This window comes from Homo sapiens, chromosome 7 (genome assembly GCF_000001405.40).
Source record: "Homo sapiens chromosome 7, GRCh38.p14 Primary Assembly".
NCBI lineage: Eukaryota > Metazoa > Chordata > Mammalia > Primates > Hominidae > Homo > Homo sapiens.
The window spans coordinates 127,476,480-127,491,152 of NC_000007.14; the positions used below are offsets into that span (position 1 = coordinate 127,476,480).

At 38.2% G+C, this 14,673-nt stretch overlaps 2 long non-coding RNA genes across 4 annotated transcripts in view; one reads left to right on the forward strand and one right to left on the reverse strand.

Annotated features, from left to right (window-relative positions):
* Positions 1 to 403: 403 nt before the first annotated feature.
* LINC03012 (long intergenic non-protein coding RNA 3012) lies at positions 404 to 9,325 on the forward strand. Its single transcript, NR_110024.1, has 4 exons — positions 404 to 490; positions 1,118 to 1,189; positions 2,654 to 2,758; positions 8,633 to 9,325. It is a non-coding gene; the product is annotated as a long intergenic non-protein coding RNA 3012 (long non-coding RNA).
* The window catches only part of LOC105375490 (uncharacterized), a 104,836-nt gene continuing 98,694 nt past the window's right edge, over positions 8,532 to 14,673 (reverse strand). For all 3 annotated transcript variants that reach the window (XR_007060511.1, XR_001745352.2, XR_001745351.2), the window contains one exon: positions 8,532 to 8,803. This is a non-coding gene — a long non-coding RNA (uncharacterized LOC105375490). The remainder of the gene's footprint in view (positions 8,804 to 14,673) is intronic.

Here is a 14,673-nt window from a genome sequence, read left to right on the forward strand (position 1 = left end):
CAAATGTTGGCAAATAAATTATTCTGTTTTAAGCCACCAAGTTTTGAGATGGTTTATTACTTAGCACCAGATAACTGATAGACAAAATGATTCTGAGAAATAGTATTATTATTCCTATTGGTGAATTAGAAATGTGAAGTTCAGATAGATTAGGAAATTTATCCAAGGTTCTAGAGCTAGAAAGCAGCAAAAAGAGGCCCAGAACTTCAGTCTGTCCCCAAGTTCAGCACTTCTGCACTACACTAGGCTGCATTTTAAATACACAACCTCCACTCAACTAGTAAAAGGTCACTGATAATCCTAGTCCTCCCAGATCCTATTTGCTGACCTAGTTACCAACCTCCAGCACTGCCTTATTGAGAAAGAGTCTCCTCCCAGCTCCTTCCTGGCCTGCTAGTGAGTTCGCCTTGTTACTTTCTTTCTGCAAAAACTAAAGCCAGGAATCATTTTCAGTGAATCAATTGAATACAGCTAGTAGAAACATAAAAAGGTAAGACCTATTTTATATGAAAAATGAATATTCTGGTTTGCATCTTGATTTAGAGCATCATAATGAGAAAAATGGAAACAAACTTACATGGTCTGGAGGAAAACAGTAAGAATTATCAAAGGATTAAGAAAAGTTAATCATTAGTCAAAACCAGATTTTAGAATTAAAGTTCTTATTCATAGAAAACATTATGGTTTATGTTAATTCCTGAGGAATGAAATTGATTCAAATGACAAAACTGTGAACACATGCTAGAAAACTGGATAAAAAATTTAAATGGAAATCTCGGATTAAAACAGAAGGAATAAGGCTCTGCCAAATGTACAATGAAAAATCTCATCTTTTAAGATGTTTGTATAGGAATTATCAAAAGAGAAAGAAGATGCGAACAGGTTATCCTTTATTTCTTCCCCCAATTTTTTAATCACATCATCGTAACCATTGGGATAATTCACAGATTTTATTCTAGGTGAAGCAAATGACTTGTAAAAGCCCTTGCTTCTCAGCTAGAGGTGTGTTTACTTTGCTATGAACAAAAAGCAACTTAACCAGTCTTGCAAGTTTTTGATTTGAGAGCTCAAAACAATTTTAAAACTAAAATCTTCATATCTAAATGTTATTTTGCAGGTGGCAATTAAACAGTAAGAAAGCATCTGGCATAAATTAAGTGAACAGATCACCAAATCATTTGGAAAACAAGTAAGTCTTAGTGCAATGATCTAAAGTCATTATGAAAACTGACTTGTCCACAGAGTTTGAATGACAGAATAGATAAAACACGTGAAGTCATACACAGCTTTCTCTGAACAAATTAATTAGCTTTCCTGCAGCCCTCCGTCCATGCCATAGAGAGCAATCACACAAGTGAATCAAGCAGCCACGCACAGCCTTGCTCAGTGTTTGTTTCAGGAGAACTTGTGTACGCACGTAATTTCACTCTAGGAAGGAAAACAGCATGGGATAGTGGGAGGATGCTGCAGCCTTTAACCCATCACTTAACCTCTGTGTGGCTCACTGTTCTCATCTCTACAAGGTGGGTAGAAAAACCCATGCTTCCTACTTCACAGAGGTGTAAGCATAAAAGATGTAAACAGACTTTGAAAAAGTTAAAAGAGCTGTGCAAATACAAGGTGCTTTATACTTGAAGAAGATATAAAAAGGCAGAATCTGTGATGTAGCAGCAGCAATTCTACCACCCAGCCACAAGGCTGCTGGCGATGTCTCACATGAAAGCAAAGGCATTTTAAAACACAAAGACTTAACAGAGAGCAGAAATGAAAAGACATGCTGTTTGCAAAAATGGTTGTGTTTAGCCTGGGGTTTTCACATAAGAAAATAATATTTTGAGAAATTGTCATGTTAAATTTAAGCTGCTCTTGGGTGACTTCAAACTATGAAATTTGCATGTAGCCCATGAGTAACTCTGTCCTAGAAGAATTCCTTGAATTCTCTTTCATGACAATAAACTTGCAAAATTTAACTTAGCTCCATTTACAAAGACTTAGGCACAAGGTTAACAATAATGAATCAACTATTTTTTTCATCTACTTTCTGAATAATGATTCTCTTTCTTCTGCATAGTACAAGGCTTCTAAATCCTGTCTACATATAAGCCACACATTTTTCCCCAAATAATTGTATCTCCATACATAATTTCGCCTGCACTAACACTGAAAAAAGGAGTGCTCCATATTCAAGCCAGTGTATTTCATTCAATTCAACAGATGGGGCTGGGCACAGTGACTCACACTTATAATCCCAACACTTTAGGAGGCCGAGGAAAGAGGATCACTTGAAGCCAGGAGTTCAAGATCAGCCTGGACAACATAGCAAGACCCTCATATCTACAGAAAAAAAAATTTAAGTAGCTGGGCACCTGTAGTATGCACCTGTAGTCCAGCTGCCTGGGAGGCTGAGGTGGGAAGATCGCTTGAGCCCAAGAGTTTGAGCCCAGGAGCCCAGGTGCCTGTAGATGCACGTGTAGTCCAGCTGCCTGGGAGGCTGGGGTGGGAGGATTGCTTGAGCCCAGGAGTTTGAGGCCGCAGGGAGTTATGATTATGCCACTGCATTCCAGCCTAGGTGAGAGAGCGAAACCCTGTTTCTGCAAAATAAATAAATATATGGGTTTAAAAATTATATCTGGTGCTTTTCTTGTTCCTACAGCACATATATTTGGCACTGGTTTTGGCATTTGGAGGGAACACGCTTAGGAGTAAGAGTCTGCAACCAAGAAGCTTACATTCTAAGAGAGAAAATAAGAAAATAAAGGTAAATAACAACGGAAGGCAGAATAGAAAGATTGTAAGGGTGGTTCAAAAGGCTCTGAGTGGCAAAAAAAGAGATCACATCTTGTTGGTGTGAGGTTTCAAAAGGATGCTTTCTAGATAAACTTTGAAGAGGAAATAAAGATGGCAAAGAAAAGATACATTGCTTGCCAAAACTATGTTATTTCAGAAAATAATCAAGGCATTGGTGGGAGAAGGAGGAAGAGCAACTCAAGTCAAGGGAACAGCAGATGCAAAGGCTTTGAAGTAGCCAAGCAAAGAACATAGACAGGATCCACTGGTGGTAAACTCTGGCTGGAGTTCAGGGCACCAGTGTTTTACAGGGGAGTGGTGGAAACATAAAGCAAAATAAGCTCTTATTTTGAAGATCTTTGATTGCCAGGCCAAGGATGTTAGAGGATCTTTGAAGACTGGAAGGCAGGAAAATAAAATATGCCACCCCTACAAAATCCCAGCTCTTTCTATTACAAAAATCATTAACACAGACAATGAATTAAATGACACAAACAAATGTTTATGTTTTCATTAAAATCCTTGTTGGTGCTTGAGGTCAGGAGTTTGAGGCCAGCCTGGGAAACATAGCAAGACCCCATTTCTACAAATAAAAATTTTTTTAAAAATTAACCGAGCATGGTGGTGTGCACCTGTAGTCCTAACTACTAGGAAGGCTGAGGTGGGAAGACTGCTCGAGCCCAGGAGTTCCGGTTTGCAGTGAGCTATGCTCATGCCACTGCACCCCAGCCTGGACAACAGAATGAGACCCTGTCTCTTAAAAAAAATACTGATTGGGACTGGGTGCAGTGGCTCATGCCTGTAATCCCAGCACTTTGGGAGGCCGAGGAGGGTGGATCATGTGGTCAGGAGTTCAGGACCAGCCTGGCCAAGATGCTGAAACCCCATCTCTACTAAAAATACAAAAATTAGCCAGGCATGCTGGTGGGTGCCTGGAATCCCAGATACTTGGGAGGCTGAGGCAGAGAATTACTTGAACCTGGGAGGCGGAGGTTGCAGTGAGCCAAGATCACTCCACTGCTCTCCAGCCTGGGTGACAGAGTGAGACTCCATCCCAAAAAAAAAAAATACTAATTGGGTACTGCTTTGCTCTTTTTCTTACATATTTACAATATTTGTGTTTGCTATAGTTATTATTAATCCTACAGCTATTACTAACCCTAGCCCTAACCCCATCAAAAGCATTATCAGACATTTCACATTCTGGTTGTCAATTGCTAACTAATTATTAGTAAAGTTTTCCCCAATATAATTTCAAATTGGTATCTGGACTTCTATTTCCATCAGTATGATGAATAAAGTACCTGCTTGGTCCTCCTGCGGAAAACAAATCAAAATACTGGGTAAAACACAATAAAAAGATTTTAATACATTAATTACATGGCTAATTAGTAAAGGGAACTTGATGAAAGTAGACCCGAAGAGGTAATCAGAGAAATAAAGCCATCTTGTGCCTTATGGACCATTTTTCAAACTGAATGTGCTTCACCTTTGTGCTTTCCAGCTCTATAAAGCCATAGAATAGAGAAAATAAAGCCCAAGATTCACTCAAGGTCCCCCTTTATAAAACTAAGACTGCAAAGGGCCACACCTCCATCATAAAAGTGAAGTAGGAAAACATTCTGCCACCCAACACACCAAAAGCAAGATTGCCTAATTAGAAATTTAGCAGTGGAAAGAGAGGGACTCGTCCCTAAAACTACTAACCATAAGTCAGTCTTCATGCAGTTTTGCATGCCAAATTCACACTTCTTGGCCAAGAAATCTCAAGCCAAGAAGTCAGTTAAAGTTGTCCTGGGCTGGTAGTTTTCCGGGTTCCTGGCAGAAACAAATTCAATCCTCTTTGGAGTATTAGTTTTATCACAGTCTGAAAGAATTCATGCAAAAAAAGTTCACAAAAATATGAGGCCACAGTAAACACTGTATTTGTTCTCATGTTGCTAATAAAGACATGCCCGATACTGGGTAATTTATAAAGAAAAGAGGCTTAATGGACTCATAGTTCCATATTGCTGGGGAAGCCTCACAATCATGGCAGAAGAGCAAGGATGTCTACATGTCAGCAGGCAAGATGAGAGCATGCGCAGGGGAACTCCTCTTTATAAAACCATCAGATCTCATGAGACTTATTCACTATCACGATAACAGCATGGCAAAGACCGACTCCCATGATTTAACTACCTCCCCTCAGGTCCCTTCCACAACACCTGGGAATTGTGAGAGCTACAATTCAAGATTAGATTTGGGTGGGGACACAGCCAAACCATATCAACACACACACACACACACACACACACACACACACACAGAGGGAGGGAGAGAGAGAGAGAGAGAGAGACAACAGTATGAAGAGCAAAAGCCAATAGAACAGACCTTTTTAAAAATGTCTAAAAGGCTTTATGTCTAAATAAATTTAAAAGTGATTTAAAATATAAGGAAAGGGAAAGACACCATAGAAATGAAGCAGATTTTAAAAAAACAAATATAATTCTAAAAATTTAAAAATCCAATAAAGAAAGCTTAAAATTCAATAGACAGATTAGAAAAAGCTGACATGTGAAATCGAAAGATAGATCCAAATAAATCGTCCAGAATGCAGCATAGAATGATCACGATAGAAATTATAAAACAGAGATCGAAAGACATGTCAAACCAGAGCTCCAAAAGGACAAGAGAGAAAAAGGATACATGAAATAATATTTGGATTAATGGTTACTGAAAATTTTTCAGAAATAATAGAACACTTCTCCACAGATTGAAGAAGCCCAGTGAATTCCAAGCTTAATAATAAAAACAAACTCATGGCTAAACACATCATAGGGAATCTGTAAATAACAAAGACAAAAGAAATAACTGAAAAACAGCCAGAGAGAAAAGATAACTAAACTTTAGCTGAAGGACAAAGACAGACACAATGAAAGCCAGAAGAATGCAGAGCAATATGTTCAAAGGGCTGAGGAAAAAAAAAAATTTTAAAATTATTTTAAACATCTTTCAAAAAGTGGGACAAAGAAAGATATATTTTTAAAAAATATCCTAATTCACTGCTATAAATACTCAGTAAGAGAAATTCTAAAGAATGTATTTTATGCAGAAGGAAATTGATCCCAGATGAAAGATCTAAGATGCAAAAAGAAATGATCAATAAAGAAAACAGTAAGTATATAGATAAAACTAAATAAACATTGAGATAAATATATAGCTAAAATAAATATAGAGATAAAATAATATTATTATCCGGTAGGATTAAAATAAAAATAAAATAAACCTACAATGCATGACAAAAATAATACATTTCAGGAATGGAATAATTAGAGTTCACACATTTTAATATAATTGTATTGCTAGAGAAGAGGGTGACAATATGATTGACTTTAGCACTTGAGAAGCCAAATATGTATGCTAAAATGTCTAGCATAACAATTAAAAGAATAGAAACAAAGTATATAGCTTCTAAATTAGTAAAAGAGGAAAATAGAATGAGAAAAACAAATACTCTATCCTAGAGAATCCAAGGAAAAAAATGAAAAAGAAACAGAAAAGGTAGGACAAATAAAAAGCCCATGATAAGATGGTAGAAATAAATCCAAACATATTAATAACTACAAAAATAAATGTAAATGGATGAGATAGATATCTAAGTGGAAGAAATATATTTTTCAACTGTATTTTTAAAAAAATGGATTATCTACAAGATATCCACAAAAGAGTATATAAAAAAGAAATGGCATGTACTCTTCATAAATATTAAGAACATGAAAGAAAGACTGAGCAAATGTTCCTGGTCAAAGAGACGGAAGAAATATGACAAGTAAATGTAATACCAAGTCCTAAATTGGATCCTAAATCAGAAAAATATTTTTCCTTTGAAATATAGGCTACTAGAGAGCCAATGGTGATATTTAGATAAAGTCTGAATATTAGGTAATAGTACTAGATCAGTGTTTACTTCCTGATAGTGCCTTACCATGCCATGAGAAGCACGTGCCCTTTCTAGTCTCCTGATCCAAGAAGGGTTAGGGACATGCAGAGTACAGTTGCCCCAGTACAGCCACATGTATGCAGTGAGAGTCTGAGGTGCTCCTGCTGCCACAGCCTGAAACAAAGCCACCCAGCGTAGATCAGCCAGCACCTAGATGACTCAAGATTCCTGGGAATAAATATGGATATACATGACATTGAGATTCGGGGTTGTCTATTTTGCCACAATAAGTAACTGATACAATGACAAAGTTAGATTATTCCATGAAGAAAATTTATTTTAACCTTAGAAAAATCAATTGGTCTAGTTGCGGTGGCTCAGGCCTGTAATCCTAGCACTTTGGGAGGCGGAGGCGGGCGGATTGCCTGAGCTCAGGAGTTCAAGACTGGCCTGGGCAACATGGCAAAACCCTGTCTCTACTAAAAAAAAAAAAAAAAATATATATATATATATATATATATATATATATATACACACACACACACACACACACACACACATACATACATATATGAAAAATTAACCAGGCATGGTGGCATACACCTGTAGTCCCAGCTACTCAGGAGGCTGAAGCACATGAATTACTTGAACCTGGAGGTTGCAGTGAGCCAAGATCGGACCACTGCACTCCAGCCTGGGTGACACAGCGAGACTCCATCAAAAAAAAAATCTATTGGTATAATTTACTATATGATTAGAGTAAAAGAAGCAATGTGAACATCTCAGTAGGTACTGAAAAATATCATTTGACAACATTTAACATTCATTTGTGATGGTTAAAAAAATTATGACTAGGAGAGCTTGCTCCAACAGATGTGTACCTATTATGAAACTATAGCAAGTCAGATTGGTATGGTTTGGCTGTGTTCCCATACAGCCAAATTTCATCTTGAATTGTAGCTCCCATAATTCCCAGGTGTTGTGGGAGGGACCTGGTGGGAGATAATTGAATCATGGGGGCGGTTTTCCCCATACTGTTCTGGTGGTAGTGAATAAGTCTCACAAGATCTGATGGTTTTATAAGAGGAAACCCCTTTCTGTTGGTTCTCATTCTCTCTTGTCTGCCACCACGTAAGATGTGCCTTTTGCCGTCCGTCATGAGTGTAAGGCCTCCCCAGCCACATGCAACTGTGAGTCCATTAAACCTTTTTCTTTATAAATGATCCAGTCTCAGGTACGTCTTTATCAGCAGTGTGAAAATGGACTAATACAAAGATGATGTAGTATTTGCACAGAAATAGCCAAATACAAAAAATGAGAGAGTCCATAAAAGGATACACTAATATATAGACAATTTATAATGAAGTGAGGTAGTATGGCAGTTTAATTAGGAAAAGACAAGTAGGTCTTCAAAAAATGGGACAGTAAGTTATTCAAATGAAAAATATTAAATTGCACCTCTATATCACATGATATATAAGAATCAATTCCAGATGGATTAAAGATCTAAATATGGTAAGGAAAAACCCCATAACATCATACAAATAACAAAAGAGAATATATTTATGACCTCAGGATAAAGAAGTATTCCTTAAACAAGACATAAAAAGCAGAAACTGTAACAACAGAGACTAATAAATTATGCTACATTAAATAAGAACTTCTGTTCATGAAAGACACCATAAGAAAATGAAAGCAGCCACAGAGCAGGAAAAGATACTTGCATCATACGTAACCAGTGAAGGACTAGTATTCAGAATATACAAAGCACTATAGTTGACAGGAAGAATAATGAAATTAAGAAAAATTCCAACTAGCAATATGGAGAATAATAGCTTTCGATTTTATTAGAACTGTGGAATCGCTGAACTCAGTGCTCTTTAGAGATCATCATGCTGACTACCCAATCTCTTTATTTCACAGCCGAGCACGCCAAGAACCAAGGAGCCCAGGGCAGGCTGCACGGCATGCCCTGTGCCCCACCCACACTGCTTCCTCTTCTGAATCTCTGCACCCCTAAGTCTGGTTCAGTTTTGAGCTTCAGGCGTGGTCTCATCCCTTTGGCACTTCTTTTCTCCAACCAAAAGTTCTCAGCTTCAAAAAAAAAAAAAAGATGAGCATGTTCAATGACAAGAAAGTCTGTTTGATGGTAATCTATAAATTTGCCACATAAAGCATAAACCATACCACAAAAAGCTTAAAGGAATACCCACTGAATTCCAGCTGCTGAAGGTTGTCCTGCCCTTTCCTTGTGGTCTCCAAACACAAGCTTGTTTTATGTCACATTATTTTCTCCCCTCTTTATGGGCCAGATTCAATTTGTCACTACTTGGATATTGAACACTTTTTGCAAATTAAAGAGAAAGTCACCTCAGGCAACTTTCAAATAGAGGCTTATTGGGGACTTGATGATACTGCAAATCATTAAAGAACTTAGGTTCTGTACCTCTGCCCTCACTGATCAAATAGAGGCCACTCCTTTGAAGCCAGCAAGGACCCATGGGACTGACCTAATGCTTTTTGCCTTCAGCTTCTGAAGCTTATCACATTACTAATGTTTGAGTCTCTAATCCAGCTGGCTAGTTTAATCATCTTGAAGTAAAACAATACTATTAACATTGTTAGAAATGATTTATCCTTCTCTGTGCTGTTACCCTCTTCTTGATTCATTCATTTTATTTATAATTTTGCAATTACAAGTTTTCTTCTCAGAATCCTTCTCTTTCTCATTGTTAAAAGTAAAGACTATATCATCCTCTTTCTTTTACGATAATCTGTTGCTATAGAAATAGAGTTTCCAAACAGGAATTAATGATCCAGGGATAATAAAGAAAGAAAAAAGGTATTCTCTAAGAGAAAATTTGTTTCCAAATATAATCCCTTTTAGTTAAGCTGTCATATAAAATTATACAATTACTGGTTGAGCACAGTGCAACTAGAAAGGTGCTAGGTCCTAATCAAAACAGAGAAGATAAAGACCAAGAAATTGTATTTTAGCTAAGGAAATAAGACACATGACACAATGTACAAGCAGTACATTACTGTTCATATGTAATTTGGGTGTAAAAATTTGTGTTTGAGATCATAAAAGCAGTAAAAAAATCAAAGTATACAAACAAAAACAGATGGGCTTGATATGAGCAACCACTGGAATAAGATTTAAAGCCAAAATCAGGAATTTTAATTTCATAACTAGAAGTTAGGATTGGAGATAAAGTGTAATATGATCAGCATGCTGCCCAAGGAAGATGACTTTATTTGTTCATTTGGTGAACATTTTCTGAAGGCACAGTAGGCTTTGCGTCCTGGGCTAAGCATGAGGGCCTGGGACAATAGAAATTGTCAATGAAATAATAGAATTGACAATGAAATAATGTTGTCTTGAGTCATCTTCCCTAGAAGCAGAGCCTGAGACAGGAATTTGGATATACATGGCTATGAAGGCAGTGCTCTGAGAGAGGGAATAAGGAAAATGGAATAGGGCAGGGGAAGTAACTAAGTGGTATCCACAGGTGTCTAGCTTCAGTCTATCCCACAGAGAACCCTAGAGCACGAACATTCGCTCAGGTAGTTCCCATGTTGAAGCAAAGGGAAAAGCCTTTTGTACTCTTCTATCAGCCAGCAATTGGCTGGAGCCTGCCACTAGGGGAAATAGGTGAGTAATTCACCAAATGAGTCAGCTCTCACTGAGTAAAGAGCGATTCTTTAGAGGGGCAAGAGTGAGCCAATGCTCACAACAGTTGAAGGATGAATGACCTAGGGTGGTAAAGGGGATCTGAGTGAGGCACCAGCAGTGTATAAAATGTCTTCAAATTATTAAGATAGGTTACTTTGAACTTAGAATCCTATACCTAGCCCTCAAGCCCATCTCTGAAAGAACTACTGGAGGGCACTACTATGGCAACAAGATACAGGTATTCGAGAAAGAGGACTGTATGGCATAAAAGAAAAAATGATGAAAAAGAAATGTGAAAAATTTCTAGTGAAGTCCAATAATTGATAATGCAGAATGCAAGAAAAAATGGGGAACTAAAATCCCAGATGATTACAATATGGCAGATGGTGATGAAGGATGGGAAAGAGAAAAATCAAAGTGTCCTAACATTAGTAGCAGTGTATCTGGTGAGAAAGCAATAAATAACAGATTAATTCTGGACCAATATGTTGTGATGCTGTCCAATATAGTTGTTATGGAATGAACTGTGTCCCCACAAAATTCCTCTGTTGAAGTCCTAACTCTCTACATCTCAGAATGTGACCAATTTGGAGATAGGACCTTTAAAGAGCTGATTATGTTAAAACGAGGCCCTTAGGATAAACCCTGATCTAATCTGACTGATGACCTTAGAAGAAGAGATTAAGACTCACAAGGAGATACCAGGGATGCAAGCACACAGAGGAAAGATCATGTGAGGACGCAGTGAGAAGGAGGCATCTGCAAGGCAGGGAGAGAGGCTTCAGAAGAAACCAGACCTGCCGACACCTTGATCTTGGACTTCCAGTCTCCAGAACTGTAAGAAAATTAATTTCTGTTGTTTAAGCCCCCCAGTCTATAGTATTTTGTTATGGTAGCCCAAGAAAATTAATACAATAGTAGTCAGTGGATACATTTGGCTATTTAATTTACATTAATTAAAATTAAATAAAAGTGAAACTTCAGTTTCTCCCTCATATTAGCCACACATCAAGTACTCAATAGCCACATGTAGCTAATGGTTACTGTACAAGACAGTGTCAGAGATATAGAACATTTTCATCATTGCAGAAATTTATATTGGACAATGTTGCTCCTCTAAAGGCAGGGTGAAAGCAATTTTTGTTTAAATATATGGGATAAAAATTTTAAAGATAATGATTAAGAAAATAGAGATACCTATAATCCTAGCACTTTGGGGGGCTGAGGTGGGTGAACTGCTTGAGCCCAGGAGTTTGAGATCAGCCTGGGAAACATGGTGAAACCCCATCTCTACAAAAAATACAAAAAATTAGCTGGGCATCGTAGCATACACCTGTAGTCCCAGCTACTCAGGAAGCTGAGGTGGGAATATCACTTGAGCCCAGGAGGTCAGGCTGCAATGAGCCAGGATCACACCACCGCATTCCAGCCTGGGTGACAGAGTGCAACCCAGAAAGAGAGAAAGGAAGACAGGAGGGAGGGAGGGAGGGAAAATATATCATAAACCAAATAAGGCTTATTGCAGGAATGCAAAGATGATTCAACATTAAGAAATCTCATTAACAAAGGGGAAAATATCAGGATTTCCCCATTTTAATAATAATTAATATTCAAAATGCATTGTGAATATAGCAATCTTTTGAACTAAAAATCACATTCTACATTTTAAAAAACTTTTTATGAGGTAGGAATGGAAAGAAAATTTTGTTTCTGGATAGAAGCTAAATAACTATCAGAAACACATAAATCATTTTGGATGGTGAAATATTGGAGGCATTCTAATTGAACAGGACAAAGAAAATGTATCAAATAAGAGTTCTTGGGTTGCAAGCAACAGAAATCAATTCTTTTTATTATTATTATTATACTTTAAGTTCTAGGGTACATGTGCACAACGTGCAGGTTTGTTACATATGTATACACGTGCCATGTTGGTATGCTGTACCCATTAACTCGTCATTTACATTAGGTATATTTCCTAACGCTATCCCTCCTCTCTCCCCCAACCCCACGACAGGCCCCGGTGTGTGATGTACCCCTTCCTGTGTCCAAGTGTTCTCATTGTTCAATTCCCACCTATGAGTGAGAACATGCAGTGTTTGGTTTTTTGTCCTTGCCATAGTTTGCTGAGAATGATGGTTTCCAGCTTCATCCATGTCCCTGCAAAGGACGTGAACTCATCCTTTTTCATGGCTGCATAGTATTCCATGGTGTATATGTGCCACATTTTCTTTTTTTCTTTTTCTTTCTTTTTTTTTTTTTTTTTTTTGAGACAGAATCTCGCTCTGTCGCCCAGGCTGGAGTGCAGTGGCACGATCTCAGCTCAGTGCAAGCTCCGCCTCCCAGGTTCCTGCCATTCTCCTGCCTCAGCCTCCTGAGTAGCTGGGACTACAGGCACCTGTCACCACACCCAGCTAATATTTTGTATTTTGGGTAGAGACAGGGTTTCAGTGTGTTAGCCAGGATGATCTCAATCTCCTGACCTCGTGATCCACCTGCCTCGGCCTCCCAAAGTACTGGGATTACAGGCGTGAGCCACCACGCCCGGCCCACATTTTCTTAATCCAGTCTATCATTGATGGACATTTGGGTTGGTTCCAAGTCTTTGCTATTGTGAATAGTGCCGCAATAAATATACAAGTGCATGTATCTTTATAGCAGCATGATTTATAATCCTTTGGGTATACACCCAGTAATGGGATGGCTGGGTCAAATGGTGTTTCTAGTTCTAGATCCTTCAGGAATCGCCACACTGTCTTCCACAATGGTTGAACTAGTTTACAGTCCCACCAACAGTGTAAAAGTGGTCCTATTTCTCCACATCCTCTCCAGCACTTGTTGTTTCCTGACTTTTTAATGATTGCCATTCTAACTGGTGTGAGATGGTATCTCATTGTGGTTTTGATTTGCATTTCTCTGATGACCAGTGATGATGAGCATTTTTTCATGTGTCTGTTGGCTGCATAAATGTCTTCTTTTGACAAGTGTCTGTTCATATCCTTCGTCCACTTTTTGATGGGGTTGTTTTTTTTTCTTGTAAATTTGTTTGAGTTCTTTGTAGATTCTGGATATTAGCCCTTTGTAAGATAAGTAGATTGCAAAAATTTTCTCCCATTCTATAGGTTGCCTGTTCACTCTGATGGTAGTTTCTTTTGCTGTGCAGAAGCTCTTTAGTTTAATTAGATCCCATCTGTCAATTTTGGCTTTTGTTGCCATTGCTTTTGGTGTTTTAGACATGAAGTCCTTGCCCATGCCTATTTTCTGAATGGTATTGTCTAGGTTTTCTTCCAGGGTTTTTATGGTTTTAGGTCTAACATTTACGTCTTTAATCCATCTTGAATTAATTTGTGTATAAGGTGTAAGGAAGGGATCCAGTTTCAGCTTTCTACATATGGCTAGCCAGTTTTCCCAGCACCATTTATTAAATAGGGAATCCTTTCCCCATTTCTTCTTTTTGTCAGGTTTGTCAAAGATCAGATGGTTGTAGATGTGTGGTATTATTTCTGAGGGCTCTATTCTGTTCCATTGGTCTATATCTCTGTTTTGGTACCAGTACCATGCTGTGATGGTTACTGTAGCCTTGTAGTATAGTTTGGAGTCAGGTAGCATGATGCCTCCAACTTTGTTCTTTTGGCTTAGGATTGACGTGGTAATGCAGGCTCTTTTTTGGTTCCATATGAAGTTTAAAGTAGTTTTTTCCAATTCTGTGAAGAAAGTCATTGGTAGCTTGATGGAGATGGCATTGAATCTATAAGTTACCTTGGGCAGTATGGCCATTTTCACGATATTGATTCTTCCTATCTATGAGCATGGAATGTTCTTCCATTTGTTTGTGTCCTCTTTTATTTCGTTGAGCAGTGGTTTGTAGCTCTCCTTGAAGAGGTCCTTCACATTCCTTGTAAGTTGGATTCCTAGGTATTTTATTCTCTTTGAAGCAATTGTGAATGGGAGTTCACTCATGATTTGGCTCTCTGTTTGTCTGTTATTGGTGTATGAGAATGCTTGTGATTTTTGCACATTGATTTTGTATCCTGAGACTTTGCTCAAGTTGCTTATCAGCTTAAGGAGATTTGGGGCTGAGACAATGGAGTTTTCTAAATATACCGTCATGTCATCTGCAAACAGGGACAATTTGACTTCCTCTTTTCCTAATTGAATACCCTTTGCCTGATTGCCCTGGCCAGAACTTCCAACACTGTGTTGTATAAGAGTGGTGAGAGAGGGCAAGCCGGATCCAGCAGCACATCAAAAAGCTTATCCACCATCATCAAGTGGGCTTCATCCCTGT